Source organism: Homo sapiens, chromosome 6 (genome assembly GCF_000001405.40).
Source record: "Homo sapiens chromosome 6, GRCh38.p14 Primary Assembly".
Lineage (NCBI taxonomy): Eukaryota > Metazoa > Chordata > Mammalia > Primates > Hominidae > Homo > Homo sapiens.
The window spans coordinates 10,396,672-10,421,175 of NC_000006.12; the positions used below are offsets into that span (position 1 = coordinate 10,396,672).

At 49.1% G+C, this 24,504-nt stretch overlaps 1 protein-coding gene and 2 long non-coding RNA genes across 5 annotated transcripts, besides 14 other annotated features; 2 read left to right on the forward strand and 1 right to left on the reverse strand.

The window, feature by feature from the left end:
• TFAP2A (transcription factor AP-2 alpha) lies at nucleotides 6-22,988 on the reverse strand. Of its 3 annotated transcripts, none has more exons than NM_001042425.3 (7): nucleotides 22,747-22,988; nucleotides 13,230-13,664; nucleotides 10,122-10,173; nucleotides 7,837-8,068; nucleotides 5,821-5,939; nucleotides 3,777-3,918; nucleotides 6-2,034 (listed from the first exon to the last, which is right to left on the reverse strand). In NM_001042425.3, the coding sequence occupies exons 1-7, from the start codon at nucleotides 22,777-22,779 to the stop codon at nucleotides 1,746-1,748; spliced, it is 1,302 nt and encodes a 433-aa protein (NP_001035890.1). In that variant the 5' UTR covers nucleotides 22,780-22,988; the 3' UTR covers nucleotides 6-1,745. The 3 variants fall into 3 exon arrangements, with proteins under 3 accessions (NP_001035890.1, NP_001358995.1, NP_001027451.1); NM_001372066.1 differs by lacking the exon at nucleotides 22,747-22,988 and adding an exon at nucleotides 18,270-18,403; NM_001032280.3 differs by lacking the exon at nucleotides 22,747-22,988 and adding an exon at nucleotides 14,899-15,720.
• Nucleotides 2,351-2,893: an enhancer, noted in NCBI's record as "H3K4me1 hESC enhancer chr6:10399255-10399797 (GRCh37/hg19 assembly coordinates)". NCBI's record gives its function as "activates a minimal SCP1, AML or CMV promoter by ChIP-STARR-seq in primed H9 embryonic stem cells {active_cell/tissue: H9 hESC(primed)}" and the evidence as "EXISTENCE:reporter gene assay evidence [ECO:0000049][PMID:30033119]".
• Nucleotides 2,894-3,435: an enhancer, noted in NCBI's record as "H3K4me1 hESC enhancer chr6:10399798-10400339 (GRCh37/hg19 assembly coordinates)". NCBI's record gives its function as "activates a minimal SCP1, AML or CMV promoter by ChIP-STARR-seq in primed H9 embryonic stem cells {active_cell/tissue: H9 hESC(primed)}" and the evidence as "EXISTENCE:reporter gene assay evidence [ECO:0000049][PMID:30033119]".
• Nucleotides 6,373-7,572: an enhancer, noted in NCBI's record as "BRD4-independent group 4 enhancer chr6:10403277-10404476 (GRCh37/hg19 assembly coordinates)". NCBI's record gives its function as "activates an origin of replication core promoter dependent on BRD2, P300/CBP, MED14 and CDK7 cofactors, and independent of BRD4, by STARR-seq in HCT116 cells {active_cell/tissue: HCT116}" and the evidence as "EXISTENCE:reporter gene assay evidence [ECO:0000049][PMID:35650434]".
• Nucleotides 6,373-8,192: a biological region, named in NCBI's record as "BRD4-independent group 4 enhancer GRCh37_chr6:10403277-10404476".
• Nucleotides 7,485-7,779: an enhancer, noted in NCBI's record as "tiled region #6139; HepG2 Activating non-DNase unmatched - State 10:DNaseD, and K562 Activating DNase unmatched - State 1:Tss". NCBI's record gives its function as "activates a minimal TATA promoter and a strong SV40 promoter by Sharpr-MPRA in HepG2 and K562 cells {active_cell/tissue: HepG2 | K562}" and the evidence as "EXISTENCE:reporter gene assay evidence [ECO:0000049][PMID:27701403]".
• Nucleotides 7,493-7,872: a silencer, noted in NCBI's record as "silent region_16899". NCBI's record gives its function as "represses an Ori minimal core promoter by ATAC-STARR-seq in GM12878 lymphoblastoid cells {active_cell/tissue: GM12878}" and the evidence as "EXISTENCE:reporter gene assay evidence [ECO:0000049][PMID:35858748]".
• Nucleotides 7,575-8,192: an enhancer, noted in NCBI's record as "H3K27ac hESC enhancer chr6:10404479-10405096 (GRCh37/hg19 assembly coordinates)". NCBI's record gives its function as "activates a minimal SCP1, AML or CMV promoter by ChIP-STARR-seq in naive H9 embryonic stem cells {active_cell/tissue: H9 hESC(naive)}" and the evidence as "EXISTENCE:reporter gene assay evidence [ECO:0000049][PMID:30033119]".
• On the forward strand, nucleotides 7,831-11,256 carry TFAP2A-AS2 (TFAP2A antisense RNA 2). Its single transcript, NR_145448.1, has one exon. It is a non-coding gene; the product is annotated as a TFAP2A antisense RNA 2 (long non-coding RNA).
• Nucleotides 8,003-8,112: an enhancer, noted in NCBI's record as "active region_23966". NCBI's record gives its function as "activates an Ori minimal core promoter by ATAC-STARR-seq in GM12878 lymphoblastoid cells {active_cell/tissue: GM12878}" and the evidence as "EXISTENCE:reporter gene assay evidence [ECO:0000049][PMID:35858748]".
• Nucleotides 15,647-19,498, forward strand: TFAP2A-AS1 (TFAP2A antisense RNA 1). Its single transcript, NR_033910.1, has 3 exons — nucleotides 15,647-15,696; nucleotides 18,010-18,380; nucleotides 18,616-19,498. It is a non-coding gene; the product is annotated as a TFAP2A antisense RNA 1 (long non-coding RNA).
• Nucleotides 15,887-16,246: a silencer, noted in NCBI's record as "silent region_16900". NCBI's record gives its function as "represses an Ori minimal core promoter by ATAC-STARR-seq in GM12878 lymphoblastoid cells {active_cell/tissue: GM12878}" and the evidence as "EXISTENCE:reporter gene assay evidence [ECO:0000049][PMID:35858748]".
• Nucleotides 17,627-18,284: an enhancer, noted in NCBI's record as "H3K4me1 hESC enhancer chr6:10414531-10415188 (GRCh37/hg19 assembly coordinates)". NCBI's record gives its function as "activates a minimal SCP1, AML or CMV promoter by ChIP-STARR-seq in naive H9 embryonic stem cells {active_cell/tissue: H9 hESC(naive)}" and the evidence as "EXISTENCE:reporter gene assay evidence [ECO:0000049][PMID:30033119]".
• Nucleotides 18,285-18,944: an enhancer, noted in NCBI's record as "OCT4-NANOG-H3K4me1 hESC enhancer chr6:10415189-10415848 (GRCh37/hg19 assembly coordinates)". NCBI's record gives its function as "activates a minimal SCP1, AML or CMV promoter by ChIP-STARR-seq in naive H9 embryonic stem cells {active_cell/tissue: H9 hESC(naive)}" and the evidence as "EXISTENCE:reporter gene assay evidence [ECO:0000049][PMID:30033119]".
• Nucleotides 19,603-20,260: an enhancer, noted in NCBI's record as "H3K4me1 hESC enhancer chr6:10416507-10417164 (GRCh37/hg19 assembly coordinates)". NCBI's record gives its function as "activates a minimal SCP1, AML or CMV promoter by ChIP-STARR-seq in naive and primed H9 embryonic stem cells {active_cell/tissue: H9 hESC(naive and primed)}" and the evidence as "EXISTENCE:reporter gene assay evidence [ECO:0000049][PMID:30033119]".
• Nucleotides 20,261-20,918: an enhancer, noted in NCBI's record as "OCT4-NANOG-H3K4me1 hESC enhancer chr6:10417165-10417822 (GRCh37/hg19 assembly coordinates)". NCBI's record gives its function as "activates a minimal SCP1, AML or CMV promoter by ChIP-STARR-seq in primed H9 embryonic stem cells {active_cell/tissue: H9 hESC(primed)}" and the evidence as "EXISTENCE:reporter gene assay evidence [ECO:0000049][PMID:30033119]".
• Nucleotides 22,237-22,894: an enhancer, noted in NCBI's record as "H3K27ac-H3K4me1 hESC enhancer chr6:10419141-10419798 (GRCh37/hg19 assembly coordinates)". NCBI's record gives its function as "activates a minimal SCP1, AML or CMV promoter by ChIP-STARR-seq in naive H9 embryonic stem cells {active_cell/tissue: H9 hESC(naive)}" and the evidence as "EXISTENCE:reporter gene assay evidence [ECO:0000049][PMID:30033119]".

The window sequence follows — 24,504 nt, forward strand, 5'->3', positions numbered from 1 at the left end:
AAGGATCAACATAAATAAAATAAAACTTTATTTTTAATAATAAAATTAATGTTTCTAGTAAGGAAAAGACAGTATGTCATTCCTTTAGCAGTACAAACAATCTTTTATCCAAAAGAATACATTGGGTTTTATTGTGTCATTTGTCTGAATACAGACACAGTGGAATATCTAAATGATACCCTGCTCTGAACTCCAAGTTGAAAGTAAGTTTTTATTATACTTGAGGGAAACAATGGGTTCAGCTGCTTATTGCAAGGAGCAATTGCCAAGGGAGAGTTAAACTCAATTACTGTAACCATACTGAATAAAAAATACTGCCAAGAACAAAAATACGCCTGGGTAAAGACAGCCACTGAATAAAAAAAAATCGACATAAAGCGTATCAAATATTTATTTATCTGGGCAACAAAGGACTATGATACATTGACAGGCATGGAAACTACTGCCAGCACAACTCAATACAATGCAACTAGAACTGCTTCCAATATGGCCAGTGAAAATACAGAATACCAGGTGGTCCCAAATGTTTGAAGTTCTTTGAACAGAAAGAGAGAGGAGAGAGAGAGAGAGAGGAAAATTCCCTAACCCTTGGTTTAAAGACAATATTCATTTATTGCTCAAATGATGCTTTTAAGGGAGGACAGTGGAATAAAATAAACTTTTTTTTTTCTCCCTACAATACATAGAAGGGTTATCAAACCACTCAAGTTTCAAAATCTTTCCAGGGTCCAATATCACTTTTTTTCTTTCGGTTCAATGAAAAGCTAAATGTAATAATACTAATTATAGATAAAATTTTATTTTACTTTTTAAAAATTTGTCCAGCTGTTTGTCACCTTTAACATGCTACAACAGGGCTAAATTCATGAATCCCAGAGAAAAAAATCCCCCAAACACTGGATTTCTAAATCAGTACCATGAACCACATGAAGAACTAATAGGGAAGATTCAAAACCCACTAAACAAGAGGTAAACAAGATCAGATAAATAAAAAAAAAAAGGCTTAAAACAGACTCACCATATTTACAATTCCCATTAAATTACACATAAATAAATATATACAGAGACGTGAACACTGATTCCCTTATATAACTGCGAATCGTGTTGCCAGAGAAAGTTCAAGTTGGTCGCTTTACCTTAAAGAGGAAAAACTTCTACAACTGAAGACATGACATGGAACTTCGTGTATTTGTGTTCAAGTTTATTCACAATACTGATAAAAATGTTGTCATCATCTTTTGGCTTTTTTTTTTTTTTTAAGTATGGCTACAATCTGAACTGAAGTATGTAAGGGAAGGTGGTGACTCAGTCCCATGAAGCGCATATAATTTTTTTTATTTTCACTTTTTTTTTAGAAAAAAGTTTTTAATTTTTGTTGTTGTTGTTGCTGTTGTTGATTTGTTGTTTTGTTTAAAAAAAAAAGGGTTCACAAACTTGGCAGAACTTTTCTCTGCTGGCTTCACGGCCTGTTCTGTTCTCTTAGGCTCCACATGAGGGCACAGGGGTGTGGGAGCGGGTGGGGAGGTCGAGGCGGGTGCAGAGTCGGAGAGGCTGCCCCACTGACAGTCGAGAGGGCAGTCCCGGAGACTCGGGGGGACCCAAGGGCAGCGGCGGCGGCGGCGGCGGCAGCAGCAGCAGCAGTAGCAGCAGCAGGAAGGGTTGCTGATCCCGGAGCTGTCACCCGCCGGAGGGTGGGCGCGCGGGGGGCTGGTGAGGCGTGGGAGGGGCGGGGCGGGAGGAGAGCCTCACTTTCTGTGCTTCTCCTCTTTGTCACTGCTTTTGGCGTTGTTGTCCGTGTGGCTGTTGGGGTTGTTGCTGAGGTACATTTTGTCCATGGCCTTGAGGGCCTCGGTGAGATAGTTCTGCAGGGCCGTGACCGCGGCACACACCGCGGGGCTGCCGAAGCCGTGGGAGATGAGGTTGAAGTGGGTCAAGCAGCTCTGGATGCCGGGCTCCAGGATGGGGTTGGGCCGTGAGTTCCCCAGGGGAGATCGGTCCTGAGCCAGCAGGTCGGTGAACTCTTTGCATATCTGTCTGCAGCACAAGTGGAGCAGAGAGAGAGACATAAGGCTCCACTATGGGCAGCACTAGCAGCAAAGAGAAAACCTCCCTCCCTGCAGCTACCTCTGCCGGGATCCAGCCGGTACCTGACATGACCCAAGACCCCAGAGACAGACAGTGTGGCCACATGTTGGGAGATCCAGCCACCTTTCAGTGACCACTAAACCATCTCTCTTTACTTCCTACCTTCACAAATGACTCTCTCTCTCTTTCCTCTCAGATATGGTAAACTTTTATTCCCACCTTTCTCCCTCACACAAAACATCCTAGACATAGGAAACCATTTCACACATTGGAAGAGAAAGAAAGGAGTCACGCAGACCGGAAGTCAGAAACAGTAGCATCTTGCGAACATTATGCTGCAGCCATCAGCCTTCCTATTCAAAATGTCATAAAGACCCTCTTCCCTGCTCCTCTAGAGAGACCTCAGCAGCAGTTTGTAGAATGAAGTCCACACTCGTTCACCTTCAAATCAAATTCAGGTCAATGTGGACAGAGAGACAAAACTTTACTTGGGATTATTTTGCCTTTAAAAAACAAGAATAACAAAAAAACAAAACGGGCCCACACAAGCCCTGTTACTTGGAGATAATTCAAAGTAGTGTTTGGGAAGAAGAAACAGACATTTCGATTTCCCATTCCTCCTCTTTCCCCACATAGCTCAAAATAAAAATACTGCAGGGAAATTGTGGAGATGGGTGTGCTTACGAAGCCTGGGGAAAGAGAAAGTTGAAATTTCGCAGAGGTAGATGAGGCCTGCACTCAGGAAGCTCTGTCTCTGAATCTGGGAAGCAAGGGCTAGCTGGGGCCTTCCAGGGGCAGCAGCAGCCTGGCCTGGGGGGCTGGGGAGGGGGATGAATGAGGAGCCTGGGCTGGCTCCCTTCTCCAAGGCCAGCTGATGTCCCCAGGCCAGAAACAGGGTCCCACCCAAGGCCTCAGCTTCTGCCCTCTGCTTCCATGCCCTCCTGTGACATCAACTTTGATAATTAAGGGCTTCCAAACAAGCCTTTTAATTTCCAGAAAACACATCAAAACAGTCATTTTCTTTTCACACATCACCTGGAGAAGCCTATTCAGCCCAGGCACCGATGGGAATATAACTTGGGCCATTTTGAAATCTATTTGACTTCTCGCCTGTGGGCTAAAACTTATGTGGGGTGTGGGTCTCTCTCTCTCTCTCTCTCTCTCTGTCTGTGTGTGTGTGTGTGTGTGTCACTTTCGAGAAGGGGTTGTGAAAGGAAGGTAAGAAATGGAATAACAGATTAGGGTTGAAACTAGGACAGCTTCTGGCTTGCACATTTTGCAGGCCACTGTTTAATCTTTGCCCTTGGAGAACATATTGATAGGATACAAAAACTGATATAGGTAAGCCTGTTACCCCTTTGAGGATTTGATTCTGGTCTTTCTGAAACAACATAGTCACAAATCCACCCTTAACTTCAGTCAAACCCCTCCTACAACCCACTCCCATACACACTCATTAAAAAAAAAAAAAAATGAGTAAATGGGACAGATGAGAGGAAAAAGATGGGAGCGCCCAAGAATCCCACCTGTATTTCTTCCTTAACATAGACTATATATAAGATGGTGTTATAACTGCAACAAAGCTGATTAACACAAAAGGAAAACAAGGGAGAAGGAAGAGCAAAAACGATTTTTGTTTCTCTTTCTCTTGACAACGAGACACAGAGACCCCATAGAGGTAAATGCCTTACTTTGTAGCCAGGAGCATGTTTTTTCTTGTCACTTGCTCATTGGGATCGGAATGTTGTCGGTTGAGAAATTCAGCTACTGCTTTGGCAGGAAATTCGGTTTCGCACACGTACCCAAAGTCCCTGGCTAGGTGGACAGCTTCTCCTGGCAAGAGGGGAGAGGAGGGAGCCAGTGCGAGAGAATGAAGAGTGGGGATCCTAACTTCCTCCCCACTCCCAACTCCCTAATTCCCTTCACCCCAGATGTTGCAGGAAACACAAACTACTTGTTTTCTCATTTCAGGCATTTTATTTCCTTCTCTGTAGGATCTGGTGGATGCATTTATCAGGAAAAATGACCACTTCTCCTAGAGGGCCAAGAAGACTTGAAAATGAAAATCTCATCCACCAACCTCCAGTCCCATCCCCCACCCTAAATGACACTTCTCCAAATTCTCTTTTAAAATGCTTCTTGTATTCCAACTTCACACCTATCAACACATTCATAAATGATATTCATAATTACTCTTTGAGCTTTTCTGCAAGGGAACAACTGAGGGGTTACATTTTAACTTGATCACATAAATTATCTGTTCATCCAAACCGATTAACCAAGAGGATTTGAGGGTCACTCCACTGAGTCTGTCTGTGTTGTTGATTTTCGAATCTTTGGTTTTAATTTCCTGAACCAGTTGGTTTTTACTGCAGGGCTTCCTGCCATTAGCTCCAGCTCCGGAAGAACGCATGCGCCAATTAGAGCATCAAAGCCCTCTCCGCAGAGCTTGTTTCCATAAAATGGAGCGGATCACAAACAATAACAGTTCTCCAGAAACTGCCTCCCTGCTACAGAACTCAACCCCCAAACCCAGACGAACTCCACGCTATACCTTAAGCCACCACTACCATTTTCTTGGCTTATAATTCTTTTGGAGTATGAATAGTGGGTTCTCTATGGACTGTTATGATTTTTAATGTAATGGTACTGTAGTTGAGTTTCTGGCACTGAACAATTGCTGATTTTCTAAACAGTTATATTACTATCAATCTCTGACATCATCAACAAAGAGAATTCATAGGATTCCTCCTCAAATATATGGTTTTAAACATTTTAAAAAATAATTTACAAAGCCAGAACTTAAATTCAATTGTAATATATCTCCTCAAATACAAGATGTGAATGAAATAAAATGACTTCTTTAAATATATATACATGCTAGTTTTAAAATCTGTCTGGTAATTAAAGTAACTTTTTTTTCCCTGTTAGCATGAGATATTTACAATAGGACACAAAGAAAAACACAGGAGAGCTATAGATTCATTCCAGTACACCAAAACCTAGGCCAATCTTGTATCAGAAAAACTTAATCTAGAGGCAGCAGGAATATGAGTGGCTTCCGGTGGCAGTTATCTAGAGCAGGGAGTGAGGATAAGGGTTGGCTTTTTGTTTTGAGGCATTTGGAAGGGTGTATGTATGTTTAAAGCTACCAGGAGAAACTTTTTGCAATGCTTATATTTATCTTTCCATATCCACATCATCCAGAATCAAAAATTGCTCACTTTTCTTCTTCTCCAAGAGAAAAGCACAATTAAAGAGATAAGGGAGCATATGTTTGGAAAACAAAGACCTGAAAGGGCACATAACCCTGAGCTTTCAGGATGGTCTTAAATCAGGACGCAGGTCAAAGATTCCCAAATTAATTCAGGAAGTAATGGTCACGCATTTCTCAAACGCAGATGTCAGAATAACTTAAGTTATTTACTGCTGAGCCCTTTAAAGGAGACAAACTTGGAGAATGTGCAGTTCTTAAACTTGTGCGTTGTTTAGCTCAGAATTAGGCTGGGGAGGTGTAACTTTATGGTAGAGGAAAAGAAGGAAGAAGGATGGAGGTATAGGAGTACATGCAAATGTTTCTTTTTGCCATGAAATAATTCCATTCACATCTGGCTATATTCTCTGCAAAGATGAAACTGCCCAACTGACATAAAATACGACCAAACATCTGGCCACTAAATATTATCCATTTTCCAAGAAGGAAGTTCCTTCTAGTTAGCAAGTGGATTCGCTTACCCTCTACTAGTGATGTGAGCAGGGTAACGTTGGCAGCTTTACGTCTCCCTGCAGGCAGATTTAATCCTATTTTGTCCAGTTTTTCTCTTAAAGATCTTCCTCCATTTTTAGACTTCGCCCTGTTTCACAAATATATGCGAGAAAGGGATTTAGAAAACATTGGGTTGCTCTGCACCACATTAAAATCATTTTGAAAGCTTCCTAAAATGTGCTTTCAAAAACTGAGAAGCTTGGCCCCAAGACATTTAAAGGAGGGAAACCTAGGAATAGTACAGAAGTTCATAGGAGATAAACGCCTGTTAAACTGTAAAGCACCCCCTACGTTCAGTTATTATTGCAACTCTTGTGGCAGGTTGGAAGGTTTTGATTTCCCAACTCTCTAAAGAAGAACCACAAACAAACACAGCCCCATCTCTAGGGTTTGAGGTATTGAGTTCAACTGATTCCTGTATATTTTCTCTGCTGTTACAATCACACCAATCCCAATGGGGTCTTTAAAACTGTCTTTGCAAGATATGCTGTTAGGTTGTTCCGAGTAACCAAAGTTATCATCACTCTCACGTTTCTTGCTCTGGCTCTAGCCCCAAAGGGAAATTCGTTTCGCCAACTGTTTACGTGCCATGTCACCAGCCTAACTGGAAATGTCAAAAGCTGATATCAGCCCTAAAAGTTTCACTGATTTCAGAGACAATGGAGGCAGTTCTAAACAGATGTCTAAATAGAATCCCATAATCAGAAAGTGGTTAAGATAAATTGTTTAAATAAAACAGCAAATTAATTAATTTCAGATTTTATTCCCTACTCAAGTGCTCTTTAATTGTGTGGATTAGATTATACTCCCCTAGGTAAACAGTCTCCAATATTGGGGATGGGGGAAGGGAAGGAAAAAGCAGAGGGCAAGGAAAAGATCTGTGTCAGTGAAAGACTACAAAGGGAAAGCAAAATGACTGTGCAGGAGGAAGAAAAGACTAGAATGGTTGATGTTAAACCCTTCCAAAAAATGATCTTTATAGGCTTTGTGCGGGATATAGCCACTAGAAAGGAACTGTGGGTCTATCAACACATAAGTAAATGAATAACAGTCAAAACAATGAAGTTCTCAGTATTATTAAAGAAGAGAAGAAACATTATCCGGGTAAGTTCAACACAAGCCCCACAACTCACAACGTGCAGTGGAATCCTAGGGGTAGGAAGCCCACAGCAGGGAGAAAACTGCCCTAAGGGAAGGTGCTTTACCTTGCTGACCCTTATAAAATCTTATCTACTAAATGAATCACTCAAACCTCGCAGGGGTGAGGTAAGAATCCCTGGCTATGTATGTAACAGATGCATTCCTTGGTAGTGACTACACACAATGCACGTAAACATGCTCGCACGCAGCCTGGCACACATCAGGGCCTCAGTAAATTGGGAATCATCATCATATGCAAACGCCTATAGTATGGGGGTCTGGAGATGACAGCGACCGGAAAGCATGGCGTGCGGACTCAAGAGGACAACCATTCTCTTCCTTTAGTTAAAAGCCATTCTATTAAAACCCTATACAAGGCACGACCGGTTACCCTCGGAGACCCTACTCAGAGAGGTAAGGCAAAGCGAGGAGCCTGAGAGGAACTTTTCCTGGGCTTGCAAGGTGTGCGCGAAGAGGGAAAAGGTGGCTGTACGGCGCCCCGCGGCTGCAGTGGCCGGGATTGAGCCCGCGGCGGAGCGAGCTGCGCTTGCGCGAGGAGGAGGGCGGAGCGGAGGACTCCGCGAGCGCGCGGCAGCGAACGAAGCGCGCACCAGAACTCGCTCGCGGGAAAGCAGCGGAGAGCGCAGGCGCGCGCCGCATCGCCCGCTCCCCCGCCCCCAGATCCCGCCCACTTGGCTCTACGCTCTTCTCCCCGCCCCCTTTCCTTTCCCGCGTAGGGAGGGCCGCGGCGCGAGGCCTGTTTGCGTCGCCGCCACCGCCCCGGCGCAAGCGCAGTGGTTCCCCCGGCCGCGGGGCGGGGCGGGCGGGGCCGTGCCGGGCCTCACCTCCGGAGCACTCCGCCCAGCAGCGACGCGTTGAGACACTCGGGTGGTGAGAGCCGCCGCTGCACTTCCGCCACCGTGACCTTGTACTTCGAGGTGGAGCTGAGGAGCGAGAGGCGACCCGGAACTGAACAGAAGACTTCGTTGGGGTTCACCACGCCGCCGAAGAGGTTGTCCTTGTTAATAGGGATGGCGGAGACGGCATTGCTGTTGGACTTGGACAGGGACACGGGGCCTGCGGAGACAGAGGGGAGGCCGCGTGTTGGGCGTCGTGGATCACCCCCAAATCCTGCCCGACCCCGGCCCTCATCCCGGCCAGGGCCGGATCCCAGGCTTTGGGCCACAGTCCCCGCTTTTCCGTCCGGCTCTGAAATTCTGTGGCTCTGCTACTTCCCTTCCTCGGGCTCGAGCCCTTCCCTACCTCACCCGGCGGCCGGGAGGCGGCCCTGCCCTCCCCCAGCCAGCCTGGCCTGCGTTTCTGCCTTGACCCTTTCCCCTTCGCCGTCAAGGGTGCTCTCTAGAGATGGGTGGTGAAATTGGTGACCCCTGAGGCGCTGAGCATCCGAGCGGAGTGGGCCCCAGATGAGGTCCAGGACCACGGGTTCAGGGTGCAGGGGAGGGAATTACATTTGCAAACCGAGAGCAAGTTACTTGTACTTCAGGGGTTTTGCTGGGTGGGGTTTTAGTGTCGGGGAAAAACTGCTTCAAAGACCCATTATTAAAATCAGCCGACAATTTAGATGGCTAAAGCACCCTGTAAACGAGCGTTTTAATTGAGGCACCACGCTGGGAAGTGGTGGATTTTGTTGTCCACACCACACGTCCCGTCTTTTTGATAAATAGGCCCTTTCCTATGTTCAATTTTGAAAACGTCTCAGTTTTGGAGATCCATTCCAAGGCCAGTTTTGAACTGCGGAGTGGGGAGGGAAGAACAGGCCTACAGTGGAATACTAGCAATGTGCCCTTTTGTTAAGTAAATACTTAACAGTCCTCTGCTAAAGCGCCTTTATTGGGAAAGTGGGTATATATACTTCCTAGTTAAAACCATAAGCTCTTTATTGCTGGACTCACCACTGTTAGAAAAAAAAAAAATAGAAGACCTGCAGAAAGTATACTAATGCATTACGTTTCTCAGCACCAGTGTAATTCAGATGCATTCACAACCATTTAAGTACAGTATGCATTGTATTTTAAAATTCCATTTGGAGACATCATATGCACACAATCTCATCACAGTGTTCCTTATGCGTTCTTTAATGGGGATATGCTAGAGGTATAGGGAGGTGGGGGGCTCTAGGTTTTGGATAGATCACTTGTGACATTAATAGCTCTGGGGAGGCTAATAGAGACAATAGGAGTTAAACGAACTCTTGAGAGATTACTAATAAAAGAGCCAATTATCATGTCGACTTGGAAAGAGCATCTCTTAAGATTTATCCCTTGCACATCTAATTTGACGTGACAAAGACTTCACAGATGCAAAAATGAAACTTTAAACTAGCTAACAATATACTGATTGGGGTTAGAAATGAGAACAGTTTTATATAGCATCGTCCTCTGGTGGTGCCTAGAATCCTGAAATGTAACATTGCCACCATAACCAAAAAAAAAGCTGCTACCAAGAGTGAATAGCATTTAATTCAGTAAACTTTATTTCTACTCACTAAACACAATACAGATTACAAATCCATGCAAATCACTTGACACTTTTCTAACAATTTCTCCTCTGAACAAGTATGCTAATATTCCTCCCATCTTCAAGATACTAATTTTAACCAAAAGCTAAAATTTTGTTAACCTAATTCACAAAGTTCTAAGACCCTTAAACAGCTAACAAGAAACTAAATTGAAGAACATGAATGTTTTTTTCCTCTACTAAAGAGTGCTTCTTATCATCTGTTCTTACATTAATGTTAAATTATTTGTACTATTTTAGCATTATACACTTCTTAACCTTCATCCAGGCAATGGATTAAACTATCAAACTGTTTCAAAATTGAAATGCCACTTCCAAATCAGTTCAACTACTGTACATTTTGTGTGTTTGTCCAAATATCATTAAACTAAATTAAATGGTCAAATCATGAGTCAGAACAAAGCTAGCCTGTTGGCATTACCAACATACTGAAGGCTGATTATTTAAGCATTGCTGTTCTGTGCCTATCTATTTGCTAATTCTGAGCCTTTAGGAAATCCTATTTGGAAAAAATAAACACATCTCTGCAAGTTCTTTTAAATAGCACTCTGCCTGTAAGGACATGCTTGGAATGCAGAAGGAAATGGCTTACCTTTCTTAATTACAGTTTGATCTGGGATGTTAATACCCGGGTCTTCTACATGCTGCAACAAAAGGATACACATGGATGTAAGTGTATCATCAAAACAAAAGGAAATGAATATTCCCTGCAAGATGGGAGGAGGGGAAGGTGTAGAATCAAAATTCCCCCTCCCGTATAATGACATTTATATATAAACATCTCATCTTGGCTTATTGGAATTTGGGGCTTTGCAACTCAAGAGGTTTCACTGCACACCCATGGCCAATTTCTCCTCCTCCAGCAAATAATCCATGTTTAAAAGGGGTGGAGATGGGGAATAAAACTTTCTTTGGAAATTAAATCAAGTGTTGGAGCACCTAATCATTCTCAGTCAGTTCAACATTTAGAAATGTACCTAGCTTTAGATTGGCGCCTCAGCGGCTTCTGACTTTAGCAATTCCAGTGTTCAGGCAGCGAAAGCCAGGGAAACACAATAGAAATGACAGGGGCGGGAGTAACAGGAGAGTGTTGGAAAAGAAAAGGTTTAGGTAGTATAATAAAGAGCAAACACACACACCTTTATGGAAAACTCCACATAAATTTTTAGAAAGACTACTGCCTAAGCCTGGGTATGATAGGAATATGAAAATGACCAAAACCAAAAAACCTTTGAGCTTGCTTTCCTGTTGTCCAACAGCAGGTTTGTTGTTAGTGTGGGGTGTTTTTCTTTTTCTTTTCTTTTTTTTTTTTTTTTTTACAGATGGATGGGTATACGTGTGCGCACTAGAGTCAAAACGTGATTAGAAAGTAAAATGAAGTCATGTTTTCTAATGCAGAAACTGACAGGCAATATAATGTCTGGCTGTGTTTACAAATTAGCACCAGGGCTGCTGAGATAGAAGATTTTGCAATCATTACCAAACACAGGCATTACCATTTAAAAAACTATTGCTTCCTTCTCTAGTCTTTGTCCAACAATAATACTGATTCGAACATTTTCCATTCTGTCTTGGATTTATGCTCCTGTTAATTGTGCCTGATCGCAATGATTCCGGGTGGATGGTACTAAGTTGCTTTATTACAGGTTTTATTATACTCAATGCTCTCATTTGTAACTTGCCTAAAGTGCTTCTGGATTTAAGTATAATTAAATTGAGAAATGTTCAGAAATGACTACTGCTGCAGTTCTTGTGTTTTAACTATATGGGGAAATATGATCCCTTTATGCATGCACCCTAAACCCATAAAGTAAATGTAGTGTGGCATAATACTTTTATTTGTGTTATTTCTAGACCTTGTCCATACAGGGAAGACTGTTAAGTTTAAAACCCCACTGAGATATTAATGATTAAATAATTTTCACCATCGATTTGATTTTCTTAAATATTTAGCAGTTATACTTACTAAAGGTTAACTGTTGCAGCAATGGGAAAAAATTGAAAACAACCTTTTTCTTGACCCAAATTCCTTTGAAAGAATTTTTTTCTTAAAAGATGGGGGAGGGAGAGGGAAAAACAGCAACTGGGTTTCCTTGTTTTTGTTTAATCTTTTAGTTAGTTTCTCCTACTGACCAATTTTGCCACAAAGAGTGAGTATACAGGTGTTAAGAATTCACCTTGAAATTTTTGCAAAGTAGAGCAATTCTCATTCACAGTAGTTCCAAAAGCTTGCAACATTATTTTGCAATTCAAATATTTTCAAAGAACAAGCAAGGAAAAGATTCAGAGTGCTTTGGGAAAGGGAACTAAAATAATCATAACTCCCAGTTCATGTTTAAATTGCTCTTATATAAATTAGTGCTCCTCTCACTTCCAAAAAAATGCACTGTTAAGTATCAGTTTCTAAAAACATGTAAGTATGAACACACATATACAGACATACAGTGCTCACTAAACCTTATACTGGATCAAGTGCCCACTTTCCTGCCTTCCATGCAAGGGCTGCTAAACATAACCAACAAATTTCAGTGACTAACTGGGCCAAATGAGAGATGTAATAAATTTTCTATTTTCCTACGGAACTTAAATAATGTTTTAAATTCACCAAGCAAGGAGGTAAGTTCATCTGACCATTTTCCTTACAATCTAATGTAGTAATCATTAAACTGTCAACGGACATACTGCTGCAATATTTGATGCAGTAATTTGAAATAGCATTTTAGTAAAAATCACATCCAGATACATTTCCTCTCCAAAGAAAAGCAGCTTTAACAGAAGCCTTTACAGCTTTAATAAAATTATTGGCTTGCTCTAATTCCATTTCAGGAGGGTTGTGAGGAAACCATAAATATATAGAATTGAAGCAGAGGTACTGGTTTAAGTTTAATTCCAGAAAGTATTTTCAAATTATCAATAGCCTGGTTTGCATTGTAAATAGTAAATGTGCTAATGCCATGCTTATTTAGAAATCATTTTAAACTGCATTTATTGATAACTAAATTAGAACTCAAATAATGTATTACCCAATAGTCTCGAAACATTTAATTTAATATGGAGTGTAGCAGGTTCTGATAGGCGTTGGGAACCTAGCTAATGATTTATGAGGTCACCACTTAGCACCCCTAGTAAGAAGAAGGCTGCATTTTAATGTCCCTCTGCTTGGATTTGCTACTTAGTTTTTCTTTAATCAGGATAGGGTGTACACATAACTTTTAGGTTTCACTTGTGCTTATAAAATCCGGTTAAAATGATCTTAGTGTGTCTTTTACACTTCCTTTTACATTTTGAGGACATTTAATGAGCTCTTTTGGTTGCATTTAACATCATTCCCAGGACAGGGAGAAATCTCCACGCCAGACTCAGCGATGGAAGTAGATCTTTTAGCAATTGAGACAGTTTACTGTCGTCGAGAGGAAGATATTGTTAATGGTGACATTCGTCTGATTTATCTGTGTTGGTGGAAATGGTAATGCAGGCATTGTTTGAGGGAGCTCCAGAAACCATTGTTCTGGGGTAGAACTCGCAACTACTTTGTGTGGTTCCTCAAAACGTCCCTCACTCTCCGCCTCCGAATAAAATGTTTTTATAAGGAAATACTAGGGAGAACCCGGGCCCACCGACTGTATGTTCCAGGTATCCTTTCTGGGGTAGGTAAGTAGGGGGCTGTGTTCCCTCCCGCGCTGGTTGCGCGGCCTCTTACCGGGACCTCCTCGATGGCGTGAGGTAAGGAGTGGATCGAGAGGTCTCCGAGTCCTGAGCTGAGCGCGTGTGGGCCGTGCAGGAGGTCCTCGTGCCGCCTGTAGTCCCTGCGAGGATCCAGGCCCGACAGCTGGTGAGGCAGCCCCCGGTGCGTGTGCAGGAGCCCAGACTCCTGGCTCTGCCTCTGGCCGGGCCAGCCTGGGTGCTGCGGCTGCGGCTGGGCGTGCAGGGGGTTCAGGCTGTAGGGGTCGTTGACGTGGGAGTAAGGATCTTGCGACTGGGGGTAGATAGGCTGGTAGGGTGGGGGGAAGTATGGGGGCTGGAAGTCGGCATTGGGGGTGTGGGACAGCGGCGGGGCGCTCGTGTAGGGAGATTGACCTACAGTGCCCAGCTGGGGCAACCGTGCCGTCCCGTTGCTGGTGCCGTCGTGACGGTCCTAGAAGAGAGCGAGAGGAAAGGTAAAGAACAAGGAATCAGGCGTCGAGCTACAACTATCCACACAAAATCCACTTGACAAGTCTGCGTGGGAAATCGCCCGTTCCCGTTGGCTGGCCGCCGGGAAAAAATCAGCTCTAAGTTCTTTTCAGGAAATACCCTCAAGTGAAACAGACCGAACAACGCAGAGAAACTGTATATGGAGGGGGCACAAGAGACTATTTAGGGGTTTCTTTCAAAGAGAGGAAAAGATAGAAAAGGGTCTCCTGGAACACAGCCCATTAAACTGCAGCGTGAAATCTCTCTTAAGCAAAATTAAAATTCCTCCTAAATACTAAACAGCAGAAGCGGCCTTTTCTTTTCCCCCGATTTGAACCTGTCTGCCACTGCGTTATTGTTTATTCTCTTCCATTTATTTGGAGAGAAAAAAATCATAAACGTTCAAAGACTGTTACCGTTTCATGACTACTTAAATAGAAACATATTTCGCAGAGGGGCTGTAACAAAAACACACGTTTAAATTACCAGCTTAAAGAAGGTTTTAACTGCAGGATCGGGGTCTGTCTTTTTCGCTTCCTCTGTTAGGAGCCTTTTTCTCGACAGAGTCGATTTATGGTTTGGATAGGGAAAGGGGGACGTCAAGTCAAGGTTTAAAATAGAAAGATTCAGCCTTATTGGGTTTAAAAGAGAGAGGTGCACCCCGGGGCTGTGGCCCCCCCCCCCCGCCCCTTCCACCCCAGCCCCAAAGGGCAGAAGAAACGCCTGACTTTAGGTTTCTCTATTGCAATTCCCTTGCAAAACAAGCGAAGAGAGTTGATTCCAGAGACCGCGAACCCTCGGCGGTTCGGCCGCAGGTCCCGAGGGTAGGGGGCACACCGCGCTGCACTTTTCCTGCAGACAGTTTAAGCATCAAATGTTGAGAACATCTCGGGGACAAGTGAAGACTCAAGGAAATCAAGATGAACGTGGGGAGAAACACGCCTTGGGAAGCCGCGGCGAGGTAGGTCTGCGTGCTCGGAGAGGTCGAGCGGGGGCTGGGGTAGGGGGTAATGCACTCGATTTAGGGATGGAAAAGAGCGAGAGAAAGGCGGAAGGTGGGGTGGGGGATGCAAATGGAGAGGGTGTCCTGAAGGAAAGCTGGGCGTGAAACCCGAGGTTTCGGGCAGCTCCACGGCACCAGGTTTCCAGAATCCAATTCCTAAAGAAACAGCAACGGGGGTGGGGATGGGACTCACCATGGCTGAAAAACTGTGAACTAACATCTGCGAAGAGTCTGGGGTAACGAGTCAGGGTGGAAAAAAACAAGCAAGCCTGGAGCGCCCGGCTGCCCCGCCGCCCGAGCGCGCCCCACACAAAAGGCGCCGAGAGCCCCGCGCCACCCAGGACTCCAGTCACGGCGCCGACGCTCCCCGGAGCGCGGGAGCCCGGCTCGGATCCATCCGAACTTGAACCACCGATTCGCGCGGCGCCTTCAGCTGGTCGAACCCACGGTCTCTATCCTGCCGCGACTGGTTATGATTCAAAGTTCTTTAAAAATGAAAAACCCCAAAAAAGGAAAAAGGAAAAAGTATGTGTGAGTGTGTGGGTGCGTGCGTGTTCCTTAATCCGTGTCTCCCCCTCTTTTCTTAGCGGCGGCTTCGCTTGAGCTTCTAATAACCGCGCTGGGCAGCGTTCCTGGAGCCTCCTAATAGCAGATATTCATGACTATTAATATTACACGAATACTTAATAAGGGAAGAATGCCTGGAAATCGAGCGTGAAGCGGAGAGGCAACTCGCGCCGGAGCCGGCTCTCAATGCAGTCCATTGACGGGAGTCTCAGTGTAGCAAATCGGAGTGGGGAGAGGGAGCGCGAGAGACAAAAAGCGAGCGAGAGAGGGAGCGGGCGAGCGCGCGGGGGGCCGCGGCGCGGCGTCTGGCGAATCACAGGGAAGGGGCAACATTTTAAAAGGTTGCAGGGCATGCAAAAGTGAAAGAGAAAGAGGCAGAGAGGGAGACCGAAGGAGAGAGCGCAGAGAGGGAGAATGTGTCTGCGTGCGTGTGTGAGAAAGAAAGTGTGGGCGAGGGAGAGGAGCCCCGGGTGGGGAGAGGGGAGGGAGGGAAGGAGGGAGAGCCCGAGAGGAGGAAGGGAGGGAAAGAGGGAGGGAGGAAGGGAGGGAGGGAGGGGGAGGGGGCCCAGCCGGAGCGCACGGAGGGGGAGGCCGCGGGGGAGGGGGAAGGGGAGAGGAAGCGAGCGAGGACAATCAGACCTAAAAGGCTGGGGCAGACCTCGGGATGCAGCGGGGGTCGTGCGTAGCGGGTAGGAGCTGCTTGGGACCGCGTCCGGGCGCTCGTGGGGCTCTCGGCGCGGCAGGCGCTTCCCGGCCCTGTCTGGCCGCGGGCTCCGCCGCTTCGCAGCCGAGTCTGGGACTCGGGACTCGGCTGCCCGCTGCTGCGCGGCTCCTCCATGACCCGGCGCCCTGCCCGGGACCGGCCCGCTCGCTGCACTGGTCCTCTCCTCGGCCTCCTCTTGAGCTTTCCTCGGACAGGGGCACCGTGCGCTCCCCGGCCACCGTCGCTCTGCCCTCGGCTCTCTGGGGCCGGGGATTCCGGATCGGGAGCCGGGATGCGGGCCGGGGCGCGCACAGACGCTAGGCGGCCCAGCCCGGGCGCCGCTGGCACCGGCTCGCGGCTCCCGGCAAAAACCCGTCCGACTGGCTGGGCCACTCCCGCCTGACGCCCCCCCAGATGACACGACTAGCTCTCCCGGCGTGCTGCCTTTGCCAGTCTACCCGCCAGGTTGTCAGAACAAGCGGCACCTCGCCTCCTGCGTGTCCCTACAGAGCCCCGGCACAATCAGACTGCCCCAAGCCAGCTCCGAAACCCGAAATCCCCGCTCCGGCGCTTGCCCACCACGGCCAAAGTTGTGGAAACAGCTTTGACTTTATTCTCCTCTCTCTCTCATCTTTTTTTGCCTCGCTTACACACGCATTCACACTTGCCCCCACAGGATCCCTCTAGGGGTGCAAGTTCATCCCCCACCTAGCCACCCACCCCATCCAGTCGGCACCTAGAGCCGCACGGAGGTTCGGACCCCGCCCGCCGAGGGCGCCCACACCTGGAGCTGGGTTTCGGCCTCTGCGAAAGTGAAATGCCCAAGCCTCCGGCCAAAGCCCAGACCAGTACAGTATGAATTGTCCTATGAGACTGAGGGGTTCGGCTTCATTCCTACCTGCCCGCAAAGCTCGCCCCCAGCCTCGAAAACAAAGCGACTGGTCTGACGTGGGGTCCCTGCGCCCCTCCTCTAGCGCGACAGGACCCCCCCAGGGAAGAGCCAGTACCCGTGGGATGTCACCCCGTCCCCATCTACCGGGGTGGGGGGCCTGAAAGGAGAACGATTTAAAATAATCTTCAGAAAGAAAAGGGAGGAGGGAGCGGGTGACACATCGTTCACATAAACCCAATTTCTGGTTTCGAGTGAAGTCAAGATCTCCGCCCCTGCGCCTGCACACACACCTCCTGCCTAACATTCTCAGCTGCAAATGCCAAAAAAGAAAAAAAAAAAAAACAGCAAAAGTTGGGACTGCCACCTATTTATTTAGGTAATCTCCAGCCCTACACACCCCAACCCCTCTCTCGGACTCATTGCTCATTACAGTGTTGGTTGTAACCGTTCCCAGCGCCTCCTGCGGGTGGACAGGTCGCGCTAGGGTCTCCCTTGCTGCCTCAAGAAGGCGAGCTCAGGGGACTCTGCGTTTTAAAATGGGTTCCAAAGCGGCGCGCTCTGTCGGCCCAGCGGGCTTGCGGCACCAGAGGTGGTCTGCAGCCGCGCAAGGATTCCCACGGTCGTTCTGGGCTGGTGCAGAAGCTGGTGCTCCCGCACCCAGCGGCCAGCAGGCTCGGCGCAGCACATCTCCCCACCCCACCCCCACACACCCCCGTGGGGTGCGTCGATCCTGTAGCTCAGAGGGAGAAGCTACTTAGAACTTCGTGAAGCACAGAGGATCTGGAGCGAGCCCCGCAGCTGGGATCAGTGGTCTTAAGTTGAACCCGCTTACAGGAAGATGCAGCCCAGCTCACAGCGAAGTGTGGGGGGGCCGTCTCTAAAGCCGAGAAGGGAACCGCTTTAGAAGTGGGGGTGGGGGGAAGAAAGAATGAATGAATGAATGAATGAATGAATAGAAAGAAGAAGGAATATTAAAGATCGGAGAGGAAGTTCAAGAGAGAAAAGAGTTTTCTCTTTCCTTTCTGTTCCTGGTGACTTGGGCCCTCAATCTCGATGAAGATAACACGAGGAGTGCACAGGCAAGTGCCCAGTTGCCAGCAATTGCTTCAAAAGCCCATGTTCTTCTTTTCCCCCATTCTTAGGCACAGCCAAAATTGGTCAGAAAGGGGAGTAAAGTGGGACACGAGCTTCAAAGTAGGGAAACCAAAGAAGGGAGCATCCACGTCCTCTCTCTGCAGCTTCTCCCCCGCGTTCTTCGGGCGAATCCGAGGGACGGGCGCTGCGCTGGGGAAAGTTTGTCCCACCCGCGTTTCGCAGCTGGTTGCAAGGAGAGGAGGAGGAGAGGGAGGGTCAAGCTCGGAGCCTGTGACCGCACGGATGATCGAGCCGGCGTCGCGCTTACCTCGCAGTCCTCGTACTTGATATTATCCGTCAATTTCCAAAGCATTTTCATGGATCGGCGTGAACGGATATGCCCCTCTCGGTCTCGCACCCAAGTGGAGCTACTCTCTGGGTGAGCGCAAAGTGCTGGCTGCCGGCGGTGAGCGCAGGAGGAGGAGGAGGAGGGAGAGGAGGTGGAGGAGGAGAAGGAGGAGGGAGAGGAGGAGGGCAAGGAGGAGGAGGAGGAAGAGGAGGGCGAGGAGGAGGAGGAGGGCGAGGAGAAGGGCGAGGAGGAGGAGAGAAGGGAAAGAGCTCCCGTGTGCGCTCGGAGATCTCCCTCTAATGGTAGAAACTTTTCCCTTTTCCAGCTCTTTACCAACAGCCTAATCGCCTCATTAGCATATCAACAATAGTCCAATTGCTCGCCAGTACCACAATCTGCCGCCGGCCGCTCCGACACAGGTATAAAGGCCTCTCTACGCCGCGAACTTGCTTCTAGAGCGCACTCCAGCCTGCGAACTGATAAAACCTTCCTCGAGCTCCGCCGCGAGGCCCTGCCCCAACACCCCCTCTCTTACCCCAATTCCGCCACATTCCCCTTCCTTTCTTTCTCCGCTTCCTTTTCTCCAGAGATGCCTTCTGCAAAGCCCGGCACTGCTCAAGGTCCAAGCGCCACGCCTGGGGCCCAGCTTCTAGCACTTCTCCCTTAACCCTGCTACCACGATCCGAGCTGCCCTTTTGGCCCCGTGCAATTTTATTAGAAATCATTATCCCTTTCGCAATTAAACATAACCACCAAACCAAGACCGGCGAAGTCACTCCAGGATTTTTTCCCAACAAGGGATCGCCTCCGCTCGAGGCAGCCACCCCCTCGGGCCGCAGCGCCTTGGGAGTTTTATTGGCTTTGAGCTTTCCCCCAGGTTGGAGATTCTGCCAAGCGGCTCCGGTGGCTCTGCTGGGGTTTGCAATCCCTTAATTGCAGCGTGTAAAATAAAAGTTGTACCCTGAAGAGGTTACTTGACAGCTCCAGGGGTTAAACAATTTTTCTCCTGTTTGTGTGAAGCTAGGGCCAACTGACAGTTCAAATTGGTGTTCAGGCTAAGGTTTCCTGGGTGCAACGTGGACACGAATACAGAACTCCTATGGAACTGCACACCCGCTTCTGAAGTTGAGCCTAAAAACAGACGTGTGTGTGCCTGCAAGTCTAGATACCGTCTCGTGCGTGCATCAAAATAAATCACCGGGAACCGACTTTTAGCTGTGTTAATCTGCTCTAGTTTTCCCAAGATTCCCCTTTTTAATTAAAGCAGGGAGAGTTCCTTCATGATTTGGTGATGCTACTAACGCGGGCGTGCTCGCGAGGCAGAGCCCGGCTGCCGCGGAACCTGGAGGCCTGGGAGCCACCTACTCGTCCAGACTGGTCAGTCCGGGCTTTTGGACTCCTCACCGGGGCCTGCTGGGTCCTCTGGGGCTTTTATCCCTTTCGGTTTTGGGATTTTTTTTTAAGTAAGAAAAAAAAAAAAGAAAAGGACCTAATGTGACACTAGGAAATACAGAGTAATTAATTTTCCTGGCTGAGCTTCCTCGTTTGTCCTCCAAAAGAAAGTTACCTCTGTCTTTTCTCTCTGCTATATGTACAAACTCCTTAACTACACTAGGTCCCGCCTCAGAGTTGCTCTAGTAAGGACCTTTGATTCATCTGGGCTTGTTTCTCGAAAATCTCCAGGCCTCCCATATTTCCACCGGGCGTTCCTAAAAGGGGATGGGAACTGTGGCAGATTGGAGCATTCCCTCACAGGTGGAAGGAAGGCAGGAGCTGGGAGAACTCCCCATTCCACCCAAGGCTGCAGAAGGGGAATTCTCCCTCCAAACACCTCAGCAAACTCCCCAAACCTAGCAGAGTAGGCAGAAGGCTCCAAAAAGCTAGGGAGAAGCCGGAGCTGGCAAGGGGCCTTACAGACCCAGGAAGCCCTCCCCATGCTCTGGGCCTCCCTTGCCCTACCTGAACTGAGCACAATTCCTCGGCTGAACCGGGCTGGAGGCTTGGCGCCGCCCTCCGTCCAGAAAATGGTCGACTTTCCAGGGCTAGACCCTGCAGGGCTGTCCCAGCCTGTCGCCAGTGCAGTGGTTTGAAGTCAGGATCTGGGCTGCCAGGAGCACCGACACCCTCCCAGCAGCGGCCATAGCCTGAGCAGGCCAAACCCTAGGCCTGAGAGCATGGGTTTTTACACTCCGTAGACGTCGCCGCGGTGTGCTTAAGGGAACTCCAAGTTTCGCTTTCTTGCCCTCTGCGGGCTTGGAAAGGCCGCCCTCCATCCTCTGCCACCCCATTTCAACCCCCGTTTCCACCTCCCCGCTGCCCCGCGCCCAACAGATCTCCGGCTCCGCACCCGCTGGGGCTGCTAAACTGTTGTTGTATTCCCGCCGAGGGCGCCATTGAGGTGCAGATTGGGACCTGCCGGCTCTGGACTGCCGCCCCCGGTGTAGGCGCTGATGAAAGGCCCGGGCGAGCGCCAGGGTCGCCTCTGGAGCCAGCCGAGCTGCATTTATGCCAGCGTCATTACCACGCTAAGTCGCTTCATTGCATGTCAATGCTCCGGCGGGGCCAGAACCCCGGGACAGCAGCGCCAGGCCTGGGGTTGGAGGTCGGAGATCCAGGCCTGACGTGGGGGGCATAAAAAGGGCGTCGCGGGGAAGAGGGAGTATTTGTGTGAGAGACAGAGTCACAAAGAGAAAGAGACAGTGAGGGGCCAGAACGACTCTCTTTTCTCCGATTGTCAATGCCCAGTGGGAGCCGGGAGCCCAACAGGCCCAGCCCATCAGATTCGGCCCCTCCGGGCCCCAAATCCGCTCGCCCCACCCGAGATCCAGGCCTCCAGCCACTTGCCTAACTGTGAGCCCGCAAGAGCCAGGCCCGCGGCTCCCTCCTTCCTCCTCCTGCGGCAGTCTCGCGGCTTTCAAACCTTAGTCGAACCCACAGAAGGCCCAGTCCCAGGCCAAACCTACTCAACAGGCACCTTCTCACGGCCTAGGAATTCTGCAGCGAAATTCACTGGAATTTGAGGAGAAAACCCAAAGACTGCTCCGAAAGGACTCCCCCAGTCTTCAGCCTCCAAATAAGAGAGTTAGGAAGGGCCTTTAGCCCACAGGGTCAGGAAGGGAAAGGTGTGGATTCCCGGGATTTGTCTCTGGTATGGGATTTGCATCCTTAAACCACGAGGTTTGTCTAAACTTGCGGATGAAATACCATTTAGTGAGGCTTAACTAGGGAGAAGAATATAAAAGAGCTCACTCTTGATAAAAGTAATAAATCCAAGGGAAAAAAGTACAGAACGCAAAAGGCCTTTCTTTCTCCAACTCCAGGTAGCTTAGTGAAGACTGCACTTCTCAGAACTTTACTTTTAATGGCCTAAATCTGAAACAAGAGAAAGAACTCGACCAGGAGTAGCAAGGCCTCAGATTTTTGGGGGGAAGTTCAGGGCATTAGATTCGAATTGTCCCCTGGGCTTTTGGGCACACAGAATCTCACCCTCACCAGGCCTCTTGGTTGGGGCGAAAACAGGGCCTCGCGGTTCTGATGATGAAATCGGCGACAGGCAGAGCCTTTTACCGCCACCATCCTGGCCAGAGCCGCTCTGTTTCCCGAAGGGAAAGTGTCTGGAAGTTGGAAGGAGAGAGCTGGACAAATGCTTCCTTGGCCAGGGTCGGAATCCGGGGCTCAGGAAGGACAGGAGCCAAGCCTTGGATGCCTTGTGGTGTCCGCGGCCTAGCAGGGCCAAGTTCCACAGGCGTTGGTTTTGGCAAATTCACCACCCCCCTGCCTCCTCACCCACCATTCTCACACTCCCTCATCCGTAGCCCAGGCGGCAAAAACCCATTTCAGGAAGTGGAGTGAGTTGCTAGCTAAACTTCGGGCAAACTTTGTATCTCCTACAGAAACACGCTGCCTCCGCGACCCAGCCATCTGGACCCCTTTCCATTCTTCACACATCCTAGATCTCCCGAAATCTGGGGGTACCAAGAGAGACAGGTGCACCAGAACCTGTCCAACACTCAACCCTGGGGTCTAGGGCGAGGCCGCAGGCGCAGCAGGCTGAAAACCTTCACCGCCGCGCACCACAACCCCAGGCCTTCTCCCTCCCCCCTTCCGAATTAGTCATCCTCCCAAGTTTCTACTTGAGGTGGGAGGGGGGTGGGGGAAACGGCCACAGCACAAACCACAAGTGACCCACCAGGCCACCTGTGGAGCGTGCGCCGGACTTCCCCGGCGCCGGGCCCCGCGGGCTGCGCGCTTTGCGCCCAGCACCGCAGTCGCTGCCTGCGCCCGTTTTTCCTGTCTTCGCTGTCTCCTGGGAGCTCTCCTGGGCGCTGCCAGGCGCGCCTCACCTACGACTCCCCTGCCCTGGGCCACGGCGCTTCCTCTCCTCCTCCCCGCTCCGGCCCCCTCCCCTACTCCACCCCTGCCCACCTCAACCCCAGCCAAGGCAAACCCCCCGTACCTGCCAGTCCCCCATTTTGGCAAGTATGGACATCGCGGCTCTGCGCTCCTGGCGACTGGTCCCCGCCGGGCATGGGCTGGAGGGCTCGGTCGGGCCAGCTCCCTGGAATCGCTTAGGCAAATCCTCCTTTTTTACCTGCTCACCAACATCTCACCTGGTCATAAAGAGCTGGGTTGCTACCTGCCGACGCATGCGCGCTGGCCCAGGAATTCACTCCGCCAGCTGCAGTCCCAGCGCCGCACAGAGCTGACCTGGGAAGTGATGGATTTATAGCCGCGGCAATCTTGCCATCAGCTCCAGCTTTTCCCAACAGCCCCAACCCGCTTTCCCGGTCAGTCCCTGGCCCGGGAACCGAAGCTGACTGACTGCTGGATGTGCTGGGTGCGATGCGAGTGTGAGTGTGTTTTCGCACTCCAGTGGTGGGGCATCGACAAGCTCGACCCATGGCTAGCCTCCCCTCGGAACTTTCGAACTGGGGGAGTCTCCACTCCCGGGTGGGGGTCGGGGGTTGGGGAAGGGCTAGACTGCTAGAAGCGTCCAGACCCCATGATCCCCGCGCACCTGGACACAGTGGGGACAGGTCGCCGTCCCCGCCTCCCCACCCGCCCACGAGGTGCAGGGCACGGCTGGCCTTAGCGGATCTGACTCTGCCAACCCCGGGGCCACTTCAGCGTTAGATTCCACATGAAACTGTTGCTCAATAGGTGAAGACGTTCATGATTCTGTGTCACTTCTGGCTTCTAGGTTTAGTCTCCTCCCATCGTAGAGAGAAAGAGAGAAACTCTACACATACATACACACACTCACACACACTCTCTCTTACACACTCAGACTTAGCACTTCTGTACAAAGGTCCACCCCCTTCTTCCTACTTTCACAGTTCCCTTCCCCTCTCCCACTCCTCTATGGCTTCCAGCGCTTTATCTTTTCCATTTAGAACTTTTTAAAGGAAGAATGGGGGCGTTGGTGGCTCTGGGATGGGCAACTGAGGTTTGGTTTAGGGTTTGCTTTCCCATGACAGATAAAATCACTGAAGTGATTTCACCGCTGCTTCTAATTAGAGGGGAGCTTTAAAAGAAGCCACGGGATTTGGGGCTCCCGGAGCCGCACCTGGCCAGGAGGGAGGTGAGGGTGAGGAGATTGGCCTCGGGCCACACTCTCCCAGAGACGGTGCCAGTCCCATTCCGCGGCTATGAGATCGAATTGTCCTGGGTCTAGGCCTGGGACGCCTGGGCCAGGCCCAGTTACCCTCCCGGGCTGCTGTCGCCGGGACTTGGAGACGAACAAAGAACCAGTTTTAAATCGTCTTCTCTGACATGTCAGGCAAATATGTGTAAAAGGTCAGCTCCACGCTGTGGAGCAGAGACCTGTCCCCCAGGCACCAAAACCTCCCCTTTCTAACCGTGCCCGAGAGCCTCCGACCCCTGGGCCCTGTCCAGGCGGCTTTGCACCTCTCGGCCTTCCCAGGGGTGGGGTGGAGGTGCCTCTCCCTGGAGTCCCCTTATCGGTTCCGCATTTTATTCATCCCTGGGCTACAGGACTTTCATCCCAATGCCCATCCTTTAGTTGATTTAAAACTTTCTGGGACCTGCCTTAGAATCTTGGTCAAGGCTGGGGGTTTCTGTGGGTAGTTTTTTTGGTTTGTTTTGTTTTGCTGAGAATTTAAATAAATTAGATGAAGTTTTTAACTCCTAAGTGCATCTTCCCTGGCTTTTTCCAGACGGTGGAAATAGGGCGGTGACTAACTTTTCAGAGTGG

Coding starts and splice junctions, on each gene's coding strand:
- TFAP2A (NM_001372066.1), bottom strand. CDS start 18,320: ATGAAAATGCTTTGGAAATTGACGGATAATATCAAGTACGAGGACTGC. Junction 8,069..10,121: donor TCAAACTGTAATTAAGAAAG/GTAAGCCATTTC, acceptor CTGTCTCCGCAG/GCCCCGTGTCCCTGTCCAAG. Junction 2,035..3,776: donor AACATGCTCCTGGCTACAAA/GTAAGGCATTTA, acceptor CTTGTGCTGCAG/ACAGATATGCAAAGAGTTCA.